The 22,198-nt window shown below is 37.0% G+C and overlaps 1 long non-coding RNA gene across 1 annotated transcript in view, besides 1 other annotated feature; it reads right to left on the bottom strand.

Moving 5' to 3' along the window:
- LINC01340 (long intergenic non-protein coding RNA 1340) overlaps window positions 1-22,198 on the bottom strand; it is a 166,356-nt gene that overhangs the window by 16,629 nt on the left and 127,529 nt on the right. The window lies entirely within an intron of this gene.
- Window positions 18,704-18,773: an enhancer, noted in NCBI's record as "active region_22834". NCBI's record gives its function as "activates an Ori minimal core promoter by ATAC-STARR-seq in GM12878 lymphoblastoid cells {active_cell/tissue: GM12878}" and the evidence as "EXISTENCE:reporter gene assay evidence [ECO:0000049][PMID:35858748]".

Below are 22,198 nucleotides of genomic sequence, written 5' to 3'. Positions count from 1 at the left end.
TCTATCCTAGAGAATATTCCATGTGCACTGGAGACAAATGTGTATTCTGCTGCTGTTGGATGGAAAGTTCTATGCATAGCTGTTGGGTCCATTTGGTTAAAAATGTAATTCAAATCCAATATTTACTTATTAATTTTCTGTCTGGCTAATCTATCAATTGTTGTAAGTGGGAGATTTCCAAAATTGCAGGATACTGGTACAAAAACAGATGCACAGACCAATGGAACAGAATAGAGAGCCCAGGCCGGGCGCGGTGGCTCACACCTGTAATCCCAGCACTTTGGGAGGCCGTGGCGGGCGGATCACGAGGTCAGGTGATCCAGACCATGGTGAAACCCCATCTCTACTAAAGTACAAAAAATCAGCCAGGCGTGGTGGTGGGCGCCTGTAGTCCCAGCTACTCTGGAGGCTGAGGCAGGAGGATGGCGTGAACCCGGGAGGTGGAGCTTGCAGTGAGCCGAGATCGTGTCACTGCACTCCAGCCTGAGTGACAGAGCAAGACTCCATCTCAAAAAAAAAAAAAGAATAGAGAGCCCAGAAATAAGGCCATACACCTACAACCATCTAGTATTCGACAAAGCTGACAAAAACAAGTAATGGAGAAAAGACTCCCTATTAAATAAATGATGCTAGGATAACTGACTGGCCATATTCAGAAGATTGAAACTGGATCCCTTCCTTACATCACATACAAAAATCAATTCAAGTTGGATTAATGACTTAAATGTAAAACCCAAAATTGTAAAAACCATGGAAGAAAACATAGGCAATACCACTCTGGATATAAGAGAAGATTTCATGACGAAGACACCAAAAGCAATTGCAATGAAAGCCAAAATTGACAAATGAGATCTAATTAAACTAAAGAGCTTCTGCACAGGAAAAGAAACTATCATGAGTAAACAGGCAAACTAGAGAATGAGAGAAAATTTTTGCAAACTATGCATCTGATAAAGTTCTAAGATAAGGAACTTAAACAAATTTACAAGATAAAAACAAACAACCCCATTAAAAAGTAGGCAAAGAACATAAACAGATACTTCTAAAAGAAGACATACCTGTGACCAACAATCATATGAAAAAATGCTCAGCATCACTAATCATTAGAGAAATGCAAATCAAAACCACAATTATATACCATCTCACACAACTCAGAATTGTGATTATTAAAAAGTCAAAAAATAACAGATCTAGCAAGGTTGCAGAGAAAAGGGAACACTTACTTCTATGCTGTTGATGGGAATGTAAATTAATTCGACCATTGTGGAAAGCAGTGTGATGATTCCTTAAAGAGCTAAAAGAAAAAGAACTACCATTTGACCCAGGAATCACATTGCTGGGTATATATCCAAAGTAACATAAATCATTCTATCCAAAGGACATGTGTAGGCTTATGTTCATTGCATCACTATTCACAATAGGAAAGACATGGAATCAACCTAAATGCCCATCAAGAGCAGACTGGATAAAGAAAATCTGGCACATATACACCATGGAATACTATGCAGTTGTAAAAAACAAAAAAAGAACAAGATTATGTGCTTTGCGAGAATATGGATGGAGCTGGAGGCCATTATCCTTAACAAACTACCTCAGGAACAGAAAACCAAATACCACATGTTCTCACTTATAAGAGAGATCTAAATGATGAGAACACATGGACACAAAAGAGAGAAACAATAGACATTATGGCCTACCTGATGGTGGAGGGTGGGTGGAGGGAGAGGTTCAGGAAAAATAACTAATGGGTACTAGGCTTAATACTTGAGTGATGAAATCATCTGTACAACAAACCCTCATGACATGAGGTTACCTATATCACAAATGTTATATAGGTAACATTTATACCTATGCATGTACCCTGAACCTAAAATAAAAGTCTATTTTAAAGAAAAATACAGCTATATGAATAAAATGTGAAGATATATATATATACACACACACACATATAGCATACAAAAAGAAAGTTGGGTATTGAAGTCCCCTGCTATTATTGTATTGCTATCTATTTCTCCCTTCATATCCGTTAATATGATTTCAGTTTTCTTAAATGTATTAAGACTTGTCTTGTGGCCTAACATTTGCTCTATCCTAGAGAATATTCCATGTGCACTGGAGAAAAATGTGTATTTCGATGCCATTGAATGGAAAGTTTATTTGCTTTATGTATTTGGGTACTCCAAAATTGGGTGCATATATATTTACCATGTTTATGTCCCCATTGTGAATTGGCCCCTTTATCATTAAATAATTACCTTGTCTCTTACAACAGTTTTTTACTTGAAGTATAGGCATGTCTGCTTTCTTTTGGTTACCATTTGCATGGAATAATTTCTTCCTTCTTTTCATTTTCAGCCTATGTGTGTCTTTAAAGCTTAAGTGGGTTTCTTGCAGATTCTCTCTCTCTCTTTCTCATATCTCTCTCTGGTGTCTTCTATATTGAATGAAGGAATTATAAGTGAATATGTGTAATCTATGTAGAAAAAGTATAAATCCATATTCGGTAGAAACTGGGAAGAGGTTTGATTCTATAATTCTTCTGCTAGTGCTCACTGATTTCCTCATTGTTTTTCCTGAGGCTCTAGCTTTCTCCTGGTGTCTGTTTCCTCAGGCCTCATTTCTGAACCAGTCAGTCATGATTAGCCTAGCAGGGTCACCTGGCACAGAGCACAATGACCTATGTTTTAGGAGGCCCTGTGAGGTGGGTGTGAGCCTGGAGGCATTTTTAAACTTCTCAAATGGGGGCAGTGAAATTGACAAGTTCTAACACCACATGCTGATCTGAACCCTTAGCAACATAGAGGTGAGATCTGGTAGTTGTGTGTCCAGGTTTCCTTGGTCTCTTCACTAGTCTTTGCTATAGAGAGAAATTATATTAACAGCTTGCCAATATTCAGGTGAAATGAACTGTTACTACACATTTTAGCTATGGTTTCCATAATTTCATCCTTGGGTTCCTTTAAAACTCTTGGGAGGATGCCAACCTGTCCCGAAGATTCACGAACATCTAACTCGTTAATTTTTTCTATGCTATTAAAAATATAGAACATATTCTCCAGTATGGGTCATTTTAACTTCAATTTCAAATAATTTGCTTTATAATATGCCCATAATGGTTCTTATTTTCCCATAAGTTATGAAATTTGCACTATAGCCCCAAAATATTTGTGAAAAATACATTACTTTCAATTTGTGAATATTAAATGAAAACCTAACTATAGCATCAGTCCCCAGAGGTTCTAAAAGTAAAAATAACCTTTATGGCATCTGGGGAAGTCTATTCTTATGCTCTCTCGTTTTATGCTGCATGATTGGACATTTTAAGTTACAGATATCAACTCCTGTGATGGAGAATCCTGAACGTCTGGTCCAAGGAGATCAAGTAACAAAGTGTATTACAAGATGTCATGTGTGTAAGCTCCAAATTCATGCCTCCTGGGACAAAACTTCTGCTCAGCCACTTGCTAGCTGTGTGATGTCGAGCAAATTATTTAATCTCACTGAATTTCAACATCTTCACCCACCAGTTGGGTATAAATATTACAAAGTCTTGTAACTCAAAGGATAAATGCTTGAGGGGATAGATACCCTATTCTTCATGATGTGCTTATTTCACATTGCATGCCTGTATCAAAATCTCTCATGTACCCCATAAATATATATACTTCATATATACCCATATAATTTTAAAAAATAAAAAATAAAACTATGAGGATTAAACAAGATGAATTGTGAGTGGTGCTTGGCCTGGTGACAAATATCCAGAATGCATTTAATAAATAATAACTGTTAATATTATTACTAAAGGAGACTTCCATTTGAGATTAACTGCAGCATTCATGGTTATGGGTTTTCTAGTTTTCAGCCTGACCAAATTATATTCTGTTATCAGCAATGAGGAAAACAAATTTGATTGATCTGATAATCAGAATACTAGGCAAATAATCTTATTTATCTTATTTAATTACCTTTGATTCAAAAACATGTTTCAACTATGGGCTATTTATAACTAAATAATAAGGGTTCCAAATGTGATATAAAGTCTAGGCCTCTATGTTTCAATCTGAAATTTATTTTCTTTATTGAATCATGGCTTCAAAAAACCCATTTCTACCCTACAAATAAACAAATTAAAATTTTTTATATGGAAGAATAATATGGCTATGACAGCCAGACAATTATTCTCAACAATAAAGAACTATCAATACTGAGAAAAACTATTTAACTATTTATGACTGTTTATGATTCCATAGGACATTATCTAAAACCTACAGCAAACACTTAGAGCCTGGAGCAACAGTACATAATTTGTGAAATTTGATTAGATTTACAAATGTAATACGTATTTTCATTCAATAACAGCTTCACCGCTCCCTGATTCTCCTCCCACCTCTTTAGCCATTCCATTTCAAGTTTTGTTTTGTTTTGTTTTTTTCTTTCTTTTTTGAGACACGATCTTGCTCTGTTGCCAGGCTGGAGTGCAGTGGTGCAATCTTGGCTCACTGCAACCTCTGCCTCCCAGGATCAAGCGATTCTCCTGCCTTGGCCTCCAAAGTAGCTGGGACTACAGGCACATACCACCACGCCCAGCTAATTTTGTTGTATTTTTAGTAGAGACGGGGTTTCACCATGTTGGCCAGGATGGTCGCAATCTCTTAACCTCGTGATCCGCCCGCCTCAACCTCCCAGAGTGCTGGGATTACAGGCGTGAGCCACCGTGCCCAGCCATTTCAAGTTCTTTAATGGCTTTTCTTCATCTCTTCAGTGCTCAAATATTGTTGTCTTTTAGAGTTCAGTCCTTGATTGTCTTTTATTTTCGCTCCACTCAGTTACTCTGGAGGATGTTGTAAATGTTGTAGTTTTAAATAACATCACTATACTTATGATTTATCAATTAAGGTATCCATATCATTTCTTACCTGTAGTATTGCAATATACTCCTAACCAGTCATAGCCACCTTCCTTCACATTGTCAATTCTGCCACATCAATGTCTTTACTTATATGTAAATTTAATCATGTCACTTCATCGCTTATAAATATTTCCAATCCTAGTCTACTATTTGTAATTTTAAAAAATATATAAATTAGAAAAACTCTCAAACATACACAAAAGTAGAGAGAATAGTAAGACAAACATTCATGTGCCCATTGCTCTAATTCTATAATTATCAACATTTTGTCATGTTTGCCTACCCTTCTTTTATTTTTAAATGTCTTATTACTAAAGTACTTTTAAGCAAATCCCTAAATACTCCAAAATGCATTTCTTTAAAAAGTTTTCTTCATATGTTTGGGTTTTTTAATGTGATTTTGAAAAATGCATGTATATATGTGAATTAATCAAGTTTGTCTAGTTGAAACTATTTGGTTGCTGTATTTAAGATTATTTAAATTTTTTTATCATTTATAAAAATAAAATCCAACCTAACTCATATTCTCAAAATCTAGCTTCTATTTAAATGTATGTCCTCACCTCCTGATACTCCTCCTAAACTATTCTATACCACATCCCCAACTATTTGCTATTTATCATATTATCTTTCACTCATAAGGCTTTTCACAAAAGCTTCCTTTGCCTAAACTGGCCTGGCCTTTCTTCCTCTCCCTATTCCATTATTAATTGTTCATCCACTAATCTTTCAAATTTTTCCACAGCACATGGCACACCATAATATTCGGTGGGAAGACATCAGTCAAAAGTCTAAAAGGATTAAAATAATGAGACACCACTACACACCTATTAGAATAGCTAAAATCCAAAACACTGACAACATCAAATGCTGGTTAGGATGTGGAGCAACAGGAACTCTCATGAGTAGTAGTAATGAAAAATCATACAGTGACTTCAGAACACAATTTTCGTGTTTTTTACAAATCTAAATCTTATTGCATAATCAAGCAATCATGTGCCTTGGTATTTAACCAAATGATTTAAAAACTTATGTCTACAAATATACCCGAACATGAATGTTTACAATAGCTTTATTCATAACTGCCAAAACTTGAAAGCAAATAAAATGTTCTTCAGTAGGTGAATAGATAAATAAACTGTGGTATATCCAGAAAAAATATAATTAAACAATAAAAAGAAAGAAGCTATCTAGCCACAAAAAAGGAGGAACCTTAAAAGCACATTACTAAGCAAGAGAAGCCAATCCAGAAAGACTACACACATATGATTCCAATTATATGACATTCTAGAAAAAGCAAAACTATGGAAATAGTAAAAAGATCACTGGTTGCCAAAGGTTGGGGTGGAGGGAGGGAAAAGCAGAAGGGGCACAGAAGATTCTTACGGCAGTGAAAATATTCCGTATGATTCTATAATGATGTATATATGTAACACAAAGAATGGACCCTATTGCAAACTGTGGACTTTGGGTGATAATGATGTATCAATGTTGGTTCATAGGTTTTAAAAAATGTGCCTGATGTAAGATGTTGATAGTAGGGGAGGCTGTGCATGTATGGGTACAGGAGATTACAGGAAATTACTGTACTTTCCACTCAATATTGCTGTGAACCTAAAACTGCTCTAAAAAATAAATTATATATATTTTTAAAAGTTCAAAACATCTACAGGTTGTTAGAATTCACAAAATGTTTCAAAATATTTCATGAACATTTTATAATATTCATACCAAAATACATGAAATCATGAACTGATATCACTAGACAATGCACTTATACAGATCAGAGATCATATCATTCTATTATCTTTGATTCTTCAGGGCCTAGCACATTCCTTGGGGCATGGTTCATACTCAATAGATATTAAGCAAATACAGAATCCTAACTGAGACAAACTCTATAACATAATTAAATTCCTGTAAAATAAATATGAAAAAAATACTGTTCATTTGCAATGGCTCTGCCCTGATTCTAGATTTTAATTATGTTATACGTACATAATCAAATACATGAAACAAGGTTACAAACTGAATAGTAAAATTGAAAAAAGAGACGGATGGATTCAGTTTTCACATTGACACTTTCTGTTGATAACCTTATCCGTAAACTTATTCCTTGGAAATATGTTGGCCATCATGTCGGCACAATTCAAATGTCTTACACATATTGTTATGCTCTCAAAACCCTATGATTTTCTTGTGGGAGAGGATACTGTTTTTTAATGAAGAAACTGAGTCTCTGTGAGTGTAATTGAGTCATCCAGAGTCATTAATGTCAGTAGTAAGCAAACATTCAAGCAATCCTCTACATTCTCCTTTGGTTTTCTATTTGCTAAGCAAGATAGCCCCACACTTACAGCTGGCAAATTGAAATGTACAGTAATTAAGTGTTTTACTTTAGGTCAGAGCAGAAGACCATGAGATTGGCATGTAAACTTGAAGGGTCTGACATGAGCACTTCTCTGTAGGCATCAACAATTATGTAGGTCAATATCACAGATGAAATCACTTTCATATTAACCATGGTGTGGTTTCCAAATGGAACAGAAGAAAGCAATTCTTTACAAGAAAGATATCTAATACCCATTAGCAATCTTTGTGAAATGCTTTTTAAAGTTATATATTTCCACTGTAATTTATCTTCTTGAATGTAAATGAATACCAATAGAAAGAAGAATTTCCATTAAAGAAGAAAACTAATTCAAAGAGTCAAAAAGTCTCTGCCTAAGACTAAACAGAATAGAGAAAAAGTAACAGGATAGGGAAGATAGTTGTTTCCTTCTTCCCAAAACTACACTCAATAAAAGATTGATTCAGTTTTAGAGATTTTAAGGCTAGGATTCATATATAGCTTTCTGTGAATCCTGAGAGTCAGGAAGCCTGAGCCTGGATGCAAAAAGCCAACCCATGTAATGCAGAAAAGCCAAGCAGGAATGAACCTTCATTACCTACAGCCAAGAACAGAGCCCTCACTAACTCTTAGAGAATAGCACAATATTTCTTTGGATCTTCAAGTTTTCTGGTCTCAGAATTATTTTTGCCAGACTTTTGATATTCAAGGTTAGTAATAAATAAGCATGACTCTCATTTCTACTACCAGTTGTCAACATAAGGCTACCCTCCAACTCCCTACCTCCCTCTTCACTGTGCTGTATATATCCTTATGCTTTCACAACTATTGATCCTACTTTTGACTCTTGACACCATTATCTGTGGAGTTTCTTTCCGTTTTTATAGTCCTAGCTTCTCAACGCTCTACTTTCTATACTCCTATATCCATTCCTCCACAAAATTCTTGTCCTTTTCAAATCTGTTTCTGTTACCCATTCCCAGAGCTACACAGAGGATTAATTCATAACCCTGGTCAATTCAACGTTTTATCAACTACTCCAAACTCTGGTCAGTGTCCTATTCTTTAGCCCTCTCAAGTCTTTTCTTCCACCGCATCTGGTGTTTAACTTCAGAAAGGAATTCAAGACATTGAATCCTCCATTTATAAACCATTTGCTTTTTATCTTTCTTTACCCTGCATGGACACTAGAGATAAATTTCCTGAGCCATACCACACTATTACTAGTCTCATTTAATTCATAATTCTTTTTTCCTCCATTTTCCTACCTGGTAAAACCCTAACCCTGAACCAATGCTTCAAACATCCCTCTCTGTTCTCACACCAAGAGGTTAAGTACTTGAGAAAATCATGCAACAGTACATATTTGTGTCAGTACAAACTCATTCTCCAACCACAGTAAAATCAGCTCTCTTCTAATATCTTCAGTCATTATCTCAAATCCCTTCCATCCCCATTAAACCCCATAATCAACCCTTGCTCTGTACACTGACAAAATATAATCTTGCATCCTATTAAGGTAATCTGGTAAAATCTCTGTTATGTCACTATTAATTCCTATGATGTCCATAGTCACAACTACCAACTTATCAATTTTGTAGCCTTAAAGAGAAACATCCTCATATTATGCAAAGTCAACACTCCATCTGTGCTTCAATTGATCTCCTCTTGCTTGTCATTAATTTTTGTCTTGAAATCCTTTATCTCTAAATTATTCTCCTCATTGTCACTTCTTCTAGCCTAAAAACATGTCCAAGCCTCTTCCAATCCACATGGAGCTAGATTGGACACTGCCAGCCTTTCTTCTTTCTAAGCACCCAAACTTCACAGAGTGGTAAATTCTGTTTTCTAACTCCACTTCCTTAAAGACCACTCAACACACAGCAATCCAGCATCTACCGCCAACATTCTACTCAAATTTCTCTTGCCGAAGTCATCAAGGACCACACAGAATCAAATAAATACTTACTTTCTAGGGTATGGTAGATGCAATTAACACTGTTGATCACACCATCTTTCCTGGATCTCTCCTAAGTGTTATCTCTTTGATACTGTTTCCTGGTGTTTTCTCTCTCTTTATCTCTCTGTCATCTTTATCTCTATCTCTGTCTCTATCTACCTTTATCTCAGTCTCTGTATCTATATATCTCTCCCCTGGGGTTTTCCTCCATTCTCTTTCTGGACAATAGCAACTTCTCTACTCTCATTGTTTTAGTACCACTGTATACTGTTGCATTCCAAGCCTGTCTTTTCAACACAGATCTCTTCCAAGCATCAGACTCACATATGCAACTTTTCGTTAAACATTTCTAGTTAGATATCCTCTAACTTGTTATGCCTAAAACTGAACCTACCTCTTTCCCAAAATTGTTTACCTCCACCTGAATTCTCTTTGGCTCAATCTGTAGGTTATCCTTGATATTTCCTACCCTTTCCACATTCTCTCCTAATGTATATTAATTGCATCCAAGAGACAAATCCTTCTGAAATTACTTTCCACATGTTCTTCATCTGCATCCCTCATCTCCATTTCAACTACCACTGCCCCATTTCAAGCACATATCATCTCTGCACAGATAATTGCAATGACTATCTAAATAGTTTTCTGATTCCAATCAGATTTGCCTCAAATCTCCACATACCTATAAAGGTGAGCAATCTTTCTGAAAAGCAGAACTTACCATGCAACTTCCCTGATTAAAGCCCTCCAGTTGTTTACATACCAACAGTAAAAGTCTCCTAGCATAACATATAAGGACACAGAAGATACTGCATGTTGATTTAAGTTCCCTACATATTTGGATATTAGGCCTTTGTCAGATGCATAGTTTGTGAATATCTCCCACTGTGTATGTTGTCTGTTTGCTCTGTTGATAGTTTATTTTGCTGCATAGGGCTTGTTAGTTTACTTAGGTCCCATTTGTCTATTTTTGTTTTAGTTGCAATTGCTTTTGGGGACGTATTCAAAAATTCTTTGCCAAGTTCAATGTTAGGAAGAGTATTTCTTAAGTTTTATTCCAGGATTTTTGTAGTTTGAGGTCTTACATTTAAATCTTCAATCCATTTTGAGTTAATTTTGTATATGGTGAAAGGTAGAGGTCAGTTTCAATCTTCTACACATGGCTAGCAAGTTATTCCAGCAACATTTATTGAACAGGGAGCCCTTCCCCCATTGCTTGTTTTTATTGGTCTTGTTGAAGGTCAGAGGGTTGTAGGTGTGTGGTTTTATTTCTGACTTCCCTATTCTGTTTCATTGGTCTATGTGTCTATTTTTGTACCAGTACCAAGCTGTTTTGGTTACTGTGGCTTAACTCTATTTAAAAATGGGCAAATACATGAACAGACATTTTTCAAATAAAAACATACAAGTGGCCAATAAGCATATGAAAAAATGCCCAGCATCAGTAATCATCAGAGAAGTGCAAATCAGAATCATAATGAGATACCATCTAACACCAGTCAGAATGACTATTAATAAAAAGTCAAAAAACAAGATACTGGCTAGGCTGTAAAGAAAATGGAACACTTACGCACTGTTGGTGGAAATGTAAATTAGTCCATCCACTGTGGAAGGCAGTCTGGAGATATCTTAAATAACTTAAAACAGAGCTACAGTTTGACCCAGCTGTCTCATTACCAGGTATATACCCCAAAGAAAGTAAGTCATCCTACCAAAAAGACATATGCACTCATATATTCATCACTGCTCTGTTCACAATAGCAGAAACATGGAATCAACCCAGGTGCCCATCAATGGTAGAATGGATAAGGAAAATGTGGTGCATATGCACCATGGAATACTACACAGCCACAACAAAAAGAAATCATGTCCTTTGCAGCAAAGTAGATGAAGCTGGAGACCATAATCCTGAGCAAATTAACACAGGAACAGAAAACCAAAGATTACATGATTTCACTTATAAGTGGGAGATACATACTGAGCACACTTGGACATAAATATAAATGAATAGACACTATGGACTACTAGAGGGTATAGGGAGGTGGATGTGGGTTAAAAAGCATTGCCAAGTCAATCCTAAGCCAAAAGAACAAAGCTGGAGGTATCATGCTACCTGACTTCAAACTATACTACAAGGCTACAGTAACCAAAACAGCATGGTACTGGTACCAAAACAGAGATATAGATCAATGGAACAGAACACAGCCCTCAGAAATAACGCCGCGTATCTACAACTATCTGATCTTTGACAAACCTGAGAAAAACAAGCAATGGGGAAAGGATTCCCTATTTAATAAATGGTGCTGGGAAAACTGGCTAGCCATATGTAGAAAGCTGAAACTGGATCCCTTCCTTACACCTTATACAAAAATTAATTCAAGATGGATTAAAGACTTAAACGTTAGACCTAAAACCATAAAAACCCTAGAAGAAAACCTACGCATTACCATTCAGGACATAGGCATGGGCAAGGACTTCATGTCTAAAACACCAAAAGCAATGGCAACAAAAGACAAAATTGACAAATGGGATCTAATTAAACTCAAGAGCTTCTGCACAGCAAAAGAAACTACCATCAGAGTGAACAGGCAACCTACAAAATGGGAGAAAATTTTTGCAACCTACTCATCTGACAAAGGGTTAATATCCAGAATCTACAATGAACTCAAACAAATTTACAAGAAAAAAACAAACAACCCCATCAAAAAGTGGGCAAAGGACATGAACAGACACTTCTCAAAAGAAGACATTTATGCAGCCAAAAAACACATGAAAAAATGCTCATCATCACTGGCCATCAGAGAAATGCAAATCAAAACCACAATGAGATACCATCTCACACCAGTTAGAATGGCAATCATTCAAAAGTCAGGAAACAACAGGTGCTGGAGAGGATGTGGAGAAATAGGAACACTTTTACACTGTTGGTGGGACTGTAAACTAGTTCAACCATTGTGGAAGTCAGTGTGGCGATTCCTCAGGGATCTAGAACTAGAAATACCATTTGACCCAGCCATCCTATAACTGGGTATATACCCAAAGGATTATAAATCATGCTGCTATAAAGACACATGCACACGTATGTTTATTGCGGCACTATTCACAATAGCAAAGACTTGGAACCAAGCCAAATGTCCAACAATGATAGACTGGATTAAGAAAATGTGGCACATATACACCATGGAATACTATGCAGCCATAAAAAATGATGAGTTCATGTCCTTTGTAGGGACATGGATGAAATTGGAAATCATCATTCTCAGTAAACTATCGCAAGAACAAAAAACCAAACACCGCATATTCTCACTCATAGGTGGGAATTGAACAATGAGATCACATGGACACAGGAAGGGGAACATCACACTCTGGGGACTGTTGTGGGGTGTGGGGAGGGGGGAGGGATAGCACTGGGAGATATACCTAATGCTAGATGACGAGTTAGTGGGTGCAGCGCACCAGCGTGGCACATGTATACATATGTAACTAACCTGCACAATGTGCACATGTACCCTAAAACTTAAAGTATAATAATAAAAGAAAAAAAAATACTGCTCTATCCAAAGACAGAAAAAAAAAAAAGCTATGTATCAGGTACTATGCTCACACTTTGAGTGACAGGATCTGCACTTCAAACCTCAGCATCATGCAATATTCCTGTGTAACAAATCTGCATATGTACCCCCTGTATTTAAAATAAAATAAAAGTTGAATTTTTTTAAAAAAAAAAGATATTGCATGATTGAACTCCTGCTTAACTCTTCTATATCATCTTCCATCATTTTCTTCGATCCACTTGATGCTGAAGTAATACCAAACTTCTTGCCATTGCTCATCATATCCTTTGTTCTTTCTGTACCTCTGCCCTGGATGTTCCTGACATCTGGAAAGCCTGCTTTGTCAGGCCAGTTTCCAGCTCAGACACACTCCCTTCATGAATCTTTCCTTGAACTCCCCTACTTGAGTCAGATACAACTTAGTTGAACCTCCCACACCATCTCTACCCTGGAACTAATTTTTTCAGTTGGGAAGTTTCCTAGGGGAGATGTCCACTCACCAGTAACCTTTCTCAACTACCAAAGATGCTTCAAAATAATATTCCCTCTGGTAAAAGAGTGCTTTGGAAATATTGTTTATGAGCCTTAATTATAAAGTAGGGAGCAATATGTGTTTGTGTAGGGGTATACAAATAGAAAAATATGCCTAATTCCTCTCTATAAACCAATGAAGTGATGGCAGTGAGATCATCAGCTACTTATAATCTGAAGTTAAAACACATGTTCAGAAATGGGATTTTACACAAAATAAAATTATTTGTGATACTACATAAAATTCATATTTCAATATAGTGACTTAGAGTACAGGAAAGCATGGATGACCCTTGTAAGATGTGGCTGCTGCCCAGATATGCACTGATTATTTTAGCTCTATCTAGTTCAGTAGGCAAAATTAGAAAAAGCTGCCAAGGAAGCTCTGCACAAATGACTTCAACATTATTGTGCAAAGAATCAACCTGTTACCCCAGTATCCAAGGAGGCCCCAGATGGCTAAAGACATTTTCACTCCCACATGAGACTTTTGCTGGTGCAGGCAAGAACCCCTCTCTCCCACAGTGAGTCCTTCTCCTCTCTTCCTTCTCTGTTTCTTCTGGCTACATTTAAAAGGTACATGGGAGAAAAGGTTGCTATAAAACACGTTAGACACCCACAGCTGCTTGCTCCCTTTTTACTTGTGGTTCTGTTTCTATCTTGCCTTTTAGTAAAATAAACCACATATTTCCTTTTACAAGCTAGATTACAAAGACATTTCTGAGTGCTATAAACAAAATGTAGTGGCAAGCAGAGGATTTGGTGAAAGGGGATGTTAGGCAGCAATCCCCACATAAACTCCAAGTACTCCAGAATCAATTAATTTAGCAAGCAACTGCTTTAAAATGCAAATGCTCTCCGGGGATATTAAACATATCCATTGTTTTTCATAGAACCTACAGCTCTTAGAATTATTTATTTGTTTGTTTGCTTATTTGTCATCTCGTTCCTGCCTTTTTCCACTAAAAATCAGGTTCTAAGGTTTCAGCAACCTCATCTGTCTTTTCCCACAAATGTACCCCCAATACATATATTTAAGTGACTGAATGAATCCTTAACTTATGTGGAGTGACTCTTAGCTTCATGTAGGAGAGTCTTGCTGTTAATAAAGAGTTAGAGATAGAGGGTAAGAGATTTTAGAGAGTAGAAAATGTTACAGGAGGATATCCACAGTTGATACTGTGTAGTGGTGAGGATCCTCGTAGGCAAGAATGCTGGAGGTTTTTCCATTAGACTGCATGATTCTTGGGTGCAGACAGTAATCTAAGAACTTGATCTAAAATAAAGGTGGGTGTCATGAATAAACTGGAAAGCATTTTTGGACAGCATTTTACTGACCAAAAAAACACCACCATAAAGTAATTGGTGTACGTGTGTGTGTGTGTACCATATACTTTGTCCACTTTGCAATATTTTCTAAGATCTTGTTGTTGCCTGTGCAAAACTAAAAGTCATCTTAGTGTCATTGCACTAGACTATTATTGCTTGGAAGAGCAAACACACATAATAAAGAATAATATAGAATGATAATAAAAATGGAGACTCTTGACATATGCTAATATTATGGTCTAAGACACTTAGTACATTTCAAAGCTCTACACTTGGAAGTCCAGAAAACAAGAAGCAGAGTTTGCTAAGAAGGTCTGTGTTTTAAAATCAACTGCCTGAAAATAATCTTTAGTTGGGAAGAATCTCAATTCGAAAAAGAATAGAGGCTTAGTGTAAAAATTTGCACCTGCAGTTAGTGGTAAAGCCAAACTTTGCAGGGTTTAAATCATGTGGTAATGCTGCAGCCAAGCAACTATGGGTCCAAGAAATTAAATTACAATCCTGTATTGGTTCTACAAGGTGATAACTAATGTAACAGCTGTTTCTTCCTTAAGACTGTTAATATGAAGATAGAATGTTTTCATTTTCTCATTTTAAATATTGATTTTTGTTCACCTTACTAGTCAGGCATACCAGACTCATTTGCTGTTTGATGTATTTTGTACTGTTGTAAATATATCTACTTCAATAAATTATATAGTTTTGATAAACTCTCCCAGGTATAACACAATGAGACTGTTTGAGTAGCTTGCCAGCATCTTCCACTCTCTGCCCATTAAATATATGACATTATAACAGGAAGAAAACATCACTAGCCCCCATAACACCCTTCTGTTTTGAACATTTAGAATGACTGCACCATGTGTGTAAGTGCTCTTTCCACTGTGGCCAAAATAGAAAAGACATTTCGCAGGGACATTTCCAGTTATACAAATTAACAGATGAATTGTTTAATATAAAGTGAATAAAATGCCCTAAGATTATGACTATAAAATAAAAGAGATTTCCTCCTGTGATCTATTTACATTAAAAACACAGTCAATGATTTAAAAAGAAAAAGACGGCAAAATCCTTAGATTTTAGAAAGAAAAATTGAAAAGTTTACCTAAATCATCTGTAACTGTGTAGAATATCACTGTGATTTATTTAAATATTCTACAGTTGCTACTGCCTAGTTATACAATGCTGCTTCCTCTTTCTCCTCCTGAAAGTAGAATCCATTTCTCTAACTATAAACAAATAACCCAGCCTTGGCAAAACCTTACTAAACCTTGGGCCACGGCACTCGGTCCTAGTGATTGGGACAAAACCTGAGCATGTGATCTGAAGCAGGCCAATTAGAGTTCTTCCCTAGGTTTCAAAGTTTTATTGAAGACATTCTTCTTGATGAAGGGTTGCAAAGACATATTCCCACTGATACTAACATCCATGTTTCTTACCACATGAAGAATCCCAAAAATGCCTTTGCCTACAGACCAGCAAAGATAAGAGACTAATGGTGAGTAGTTAATGTCATACAAGTTCCTTACCCTGACCAAAGTAACGCACTTATCCAGGCATGCAACTACCCCATTTCTCAGCCATCATTCTCCCTATTTGTTTTAGCCACTTTGAATTGGGCTTCACTTTTCACTAATGGGGCTCTAACTAAAATATCTTTGATATAGTTTAGATATTTATGTCCCTACCCAAATCTCATGTTGAATTGTAATCCCCAGTGCTGAAGGTGGGGCCTGGTAAGAGGTGTTTGAATCATAAGCACGGGTCCCTCAAGGTTTGGTGCTGTCTTCATGATAGTGAGTGAGTTCTCATGAGATCTGGTCATTGAAAAGTGTGTGGCATTTCCCCCACCCCAACCCTGATACTTCTTTCACCATGTGAAGTACCTACTCCTGCTTTGCCTTCTGCCATGAGTAAAAGCTCCTTGAGTCCTCCCTAGAAGCTGAGCAGATGCCAGGATCATGCTTACTCTAAAGCCTGCAGAATAATGAGCCAATTAAATCTCCTTTCTTTATACATTACCCAGTCTCAGGAATTTCTTTATAGAAATGTGAGAATGGTCTAATACAATCTTATTTTAAAGTACTCCATCAAAGATACATTAATAGAAGTTATTCTTCTCCTTATAAGAGGCATTTGGGTTATGAAGTATAATGGAGTCAAGGGCTTTGACAAGAGACAGACATGAGTTCAAACCATAGCTCTTCCATTTACAAGCAGTGTGACTTTGAAATTTCCTTAGTTTCTATTAGTCCCTGTTTCCTCCTCCATAACATGAAGATAATAGCACTGACCATGTAGGAGATTTCTGTGAGATTTAGATAATAGATGTGTTCATAGCCCACAATAACTAAGTGGTAGCTATTAGTATGTTTTCCATTTTACAGATAAAAACACAGGGATTCAAAGATGTCAAGTAACATATTAAGATGACCAAAAATTAAATGGCATGGTCAGAACTGGAATCCAGGTCTATTTGTCTTCAAAATTCCTAGTCCTTCAAGTATACCTGGTTGCCACACAGGATAAGGAAGAAATGAGAGGAAGAAGAGAGATAAAAAGATTTATTTTCTAACCAAGAAGCCACACCTAATTTACTTTAGAATTAAACCACATCTGGTACACATCACTTATGATTTAAGGGACTTATTCTGAAAAATACCTTACATTTCGGTAAATACTGTAAGTAAGATGAGTATCATCTACAGGAAAAAAAGATTAAAGTTGGAGCCAGAGCCTCAGTAAAGCCAAGGACAAACAAATGCATGCAACTCATCTAGTGTTTCCATGCTTAACTATTTGTATAAACAAACTGATTTCTGTGCACATCTGGCACTGCAATGTACACTATGCCTCATCTCTACTTTCGCATCTTAAATGTGATAACTTAGAATCCATTGCAATGTTGAAGGCTTCAAAAGAAGACCTCACAATTCATAAAAAATTTCACAAAGGACGAGAAAGGCTGGCGTGACTCAGAGTAGAGAATGGTGGCTTCAGTGAGTACTCACCACAACCTCAATCCCAAGTCTTTTACTTTTGAAGTTAACATATAAGATGTCAAATCATTTCCAAAGGTCATTTAGGTACAATTATACTTGAATTATTAACCTTAATGAGATTTACTCTCTCAGCCCTTCTCTTTGTCTTCCTCATTGTCTCCTGCTGCTGCCCCTATCACAACACCATATATATGTTGTTCTACTACGCAAACACTCAGAAACCAGATAGTGAGAGAGATTCTCATCAGTGGCTCAATAAATATAACAGCATCACAATGCTTCACAAACAAAACTGTCCAAAGTGGAATTATCAATTGGTGAAGACAACATGGTTGCTGGTCATCCCTTTATCACCAACAAAGGACCAGCAGGTGGTTGAACTGTTGTCTTATTGCTTGATTAAACCAGAATGTAACAAGTCATTATTAGAAGTCATTAACTTAGGAAATAATATAATAAATAAGGTTTCAGTACTTTGATTCTATACAACTGTGATGATTAGAATATATATCATAACAAAAAGGAAGATATATAGCATGGAAATGACTTGATTGGCATTATAAGGGAGTGTTTTCCAAGTCAGGACCCCTTTTGATAAAACAGTCCAACTCTTCAACAGAAAAGCTCTTGGTACAACACTAAATAGGGAAAAGTGGATGCAGGCGTATCTCCATCTAATACCCCTGAGTGGCCTTATCCTTTCAGAGTTTCTACTTTGATTACTATTGCCTCTATCACTGTTGGCTCTCAATGGGATGTGGCTCTACTTTATAAATCTAGCTTTTCATTAGTTCCCATTATCCCAGCAAGAGGGGCTAGAATTGTCAAAGTGAACATTATAAACCATTAAGGAAGAAAAAAATACACTAAGAAAATACAAAAAGCATTTGTCACAGAATTCAGAATGGGGCATTTTCCTTGTTTCTCACATTTCAGCCAAAGTTTCAAAACTGAAAGCAATAAAAGATGTTTCTACGTTCTAAAGGGAGACCACAAGAAACCACCAGATACTAACCCCATCTCTTCAACAGATTGCTATGAAGTGGCCAGACTTGTTCTCCACTTTCACTTTCATCCAGGGGATTATTTAAAAGAAGTGTCATGTTAGCCAGGTATGGTGATGCACACCTGTAGTCCCGGCTACTTGGGAGGCTGAGGCAGGAGGATTTCTTGAGGCTGCACAGATCACACCACTGAACTCTGGCTTGGGTGACCAAGCAAAGCTCCATCTCTAAAACAAAAATTAACATTTTTTTTTAAAGAAGTGCCATGTCTTGTTCTCTCAAGTTTCCGTGCACTGGTTGCTTTTTAACTCTTTTACCCACAAATGAAAGGAGTGACACCAAGAAAAAACACTATGGATTTTAGAGGCACCCATATGAATAAATAGGTGTCTCAGTCCCCTGGTGGACACTTCCTCAACTGTGACAATCACTAGGCTCAATCCAACTAGCATAGGAGAAAGAGTCATGTTTCCTCCAGAGTCTGGGGATATATTAGAACCAAGAGGCAAGAATACATTTATTTTGGGAGGCCGAGGCAGGTGGATCACCTGAGGTCAGGAGTTCCAGACCAGCCTGGCCAACATGGTAAAACCCCGTTTTTACAAAACATATAAAAATTAACCAGGTGTGGTGGTGCACAGCTGTAGTCCCAGATACTTGGCAGGCTGAGGCAGAAGAATTGCTTGAATCCAGGAGGTGGAGGTTGCAGTGAGCCAAGATCATGCCACTGCCCTTCAGCCTGGGCGACTGAGTGAAACTCTGACTCAAAAAAAAAAAAAAAAACCAAACCAAGAAAACATTTATTTCATGAATAATTCTGGCTACAGGAGAATGTCTGGATCACTCCAAATTTTTAGGACGGGAAGAAAGGGCAGTAGGGACAAGTTCTCCTGGTGTGGCAAAGATGCACACATTTCCTGAAGATAAAGTGGATACCACAGAAAACAACAAATTTGAGTCTTTTTTGAGACAGTTTCACTCTGTCACCCAGGCTGAAGTGCAGTGGTGTAAGTATAGTTCACCGTAGCCTGGAACTCCTGGGCTCAAGCAATTCCCTGCCTTAGCCCCCTGAGTAGCTGAGACTTCAGGTGCATGCCACCATGCCCAGCTAATAAATAAATAAATAAATAACTTTTTTATAGACAGGGTCTCACTATGTTGCCCAGGATGGTCACAAGTTCCCAGCCTCAAGTGATTCTTCCACCTCAGCCTCCCAAAGCACTGGGATTACAGGCATGAACCTCCATGCCAGACTAATTTGAACTGCCATGCCAGACTCAAGAAGGAAGTCTTCTAAGTGAAGCTTGCCAGCAGTGGGATACTGTAGGACCTTCACGAAATGTACCACCAAGAGAGCATGTCACCCAAGCTAGAAGACTGCACAGGTGGTACATGTGGATCATCAGTTGCCTGATATAGGGGATCTGAAGAACACAAGTGGGTCCACAAGAGAACCAGAGATCTAATGTCAGTCTCACCAAAGGTTACAGAGTGGGGAAAATTATAAGAACATCAGCTTAGGAAGAAACTTCTGCACCCATTTTATCAAACTCCTCTTCCCAATGCTAAAACCCTAGAGAATCTGGAACACATAAAAATAAAGAGTAAAAGAAAAGTCCATACTGTCTTCTCTCTGGAAGGTTCCCAATTCCCAGATGAACAAAAGGTACAGCCTATTTAGGATACTCTTTTATTTTTTTTTCAAAATAGTATATTTTTTATTATTTAAAATTGTGAAATATTCAAACTAATCTCTAATAACAGAAAGTAAATCAGTGGTTACCTGAAGGGAGACATGGGTAGGGAATCAAAGGTAGGGATTACAAAAGAGACATGAGGAAACTTTCTGGAGTGATAAATAGGTTCAATATCTTGAGTGTAATGTCAATATCACAGGTGTATATGTACATCAAAATTTATCAAATTGTAGATTTTAAACATGTGTTTTATTATATTACAATTAGAACTCAATAAAGCTATTAAGAAACAAAATATAATTACTTTTAGCATGTTCAATGAATACTTAAATATGAACTGTAAATTTCCACAGACTTTCCCTCTATAAATTTGCAGATAATATTGCATACTCTGGATACCTGTAACAGATGTAAAAATTATATAAGAAGGTTGCATTTTCCTGCCTACAGAAGTCATATTTTAATGAATTTGGAGCATGGGGATCATTGCACTTCTTGAATTTAGACCTACTTATTCATGCATGCAATGTTTATACTGCAATATTAACATACTGTGTTGGTTTTTTTTTTTTTATTATACTTTAAGTTTTAGGGTACATGTGCACATAGTGCAGGTTAGTTACATATGTATACATGTGCCATGCTGGTGCGCTGCACCCACTAACTGGTCATCTAGCATTAGGTATATCTCCCAATGCTATCCCTCCCCCCTCCCCACACCCCACCACAGTCCCCAGAGTGTGATATTCCCCTTCCTGAGTCCATGTGATCTCATTGTTCAATTCCCACCTATGAATGAGAATATGCGGTGTTTGGTTTTTTGTTCTTGCGATAGTTTACTGAGAATGATGATTTCCAATTTCATCCATGTCCCTACAAAGGAGGTGAACTCATCATTTTCTATGGCTGCATAGTATTCCATGGTGTATGTGTGCCACATTTTCTTAATCCAGTCTATCATTGTTGGACATTTGGCTTGGTTCCAAGTCTTTGCTATTGTGAATAGTGCCGCAATAAACATACGTGTGCATGTGTCTTTATAGCAGCATGATTTATAGTCCTTTGGGTATATACCCAGTAATAGGATGGCTGGGTCAAATGGTATTTCTAGTTCTAGATCCCTGAGGAATCGCCACACTGACTTCCACAATGGTTGAACTAGTTTACAGTCCCACCAACAGTGTAAAAGTGTTCCTATTTCTCCACATCCTCTCCAGCACCTGTTGTTTCCAGACTTTTTAATGATTGCCATTCTAACTGGTGTGAGATGGTATCTCATTGTGGTTTTGATTTGCATTTCTCTGATGGCCGGTGATGATGAGCATTTTTTCATGTGTTTTTTGGCTGCATAAATGTCTTCTTTTGAGAAGTGTCTGTTCATGTCCTTTGCCCACTTTTTGATGGGGTTGTTTGTTTTTTTCTTGTAAATTTGTTTGAGTTCATTGTAGATTCTGGATATTAGCCCTTTGTCAGATGAGTAGGTTGCAAAAATTTTCTCCCATTTTGTAGGTTGCCTGTTCACTCTGATGGTAGTTTCTTTTGCTGTGCAGAAGCTCTTGAGTTTAATTAGATCCCATTTGTCAATTTTGTCTTTTGTTGCCATTGCTTTTGGTGTTTTAGACATGAAGTCCTTGCCCATGCCTATGTCCTGAATGGTAATGCGTAGGTTTTCTTCTAGGGTTTTTATGGTTTTAGGTCTAACGTTTAAGTCTTTAATCCATCTTGAATTGATTTTTGTATAAGGTGTAAGGAAGGGATCCAGTTTCAGCTTTCTACATATGGCTAGCCAGTTTTCCCAGCACCATTTATTAAATAGGGAATCCTTTCCCCATTGCTTGTTTTTCTCAGGTTTGTCAAAG

The sequence above is a fragment of the Homo sapiens genome, chromosome 5 (genome assembly GCF_000001405.40).
Source record: "Homo sapiens chromosome 5, GRCh38.p14 Primary Assembly".
NCBI lineage: Eukaryota > Metazoa > Chordata > Mammalia > Primates > Hominidae > Homo > Homo sapiens.
The sequence above is the reverse complement of the archived record's forward strand: the minus strand, read 5'-3'. Positions and strand labels throughout refer to the sequence as shown.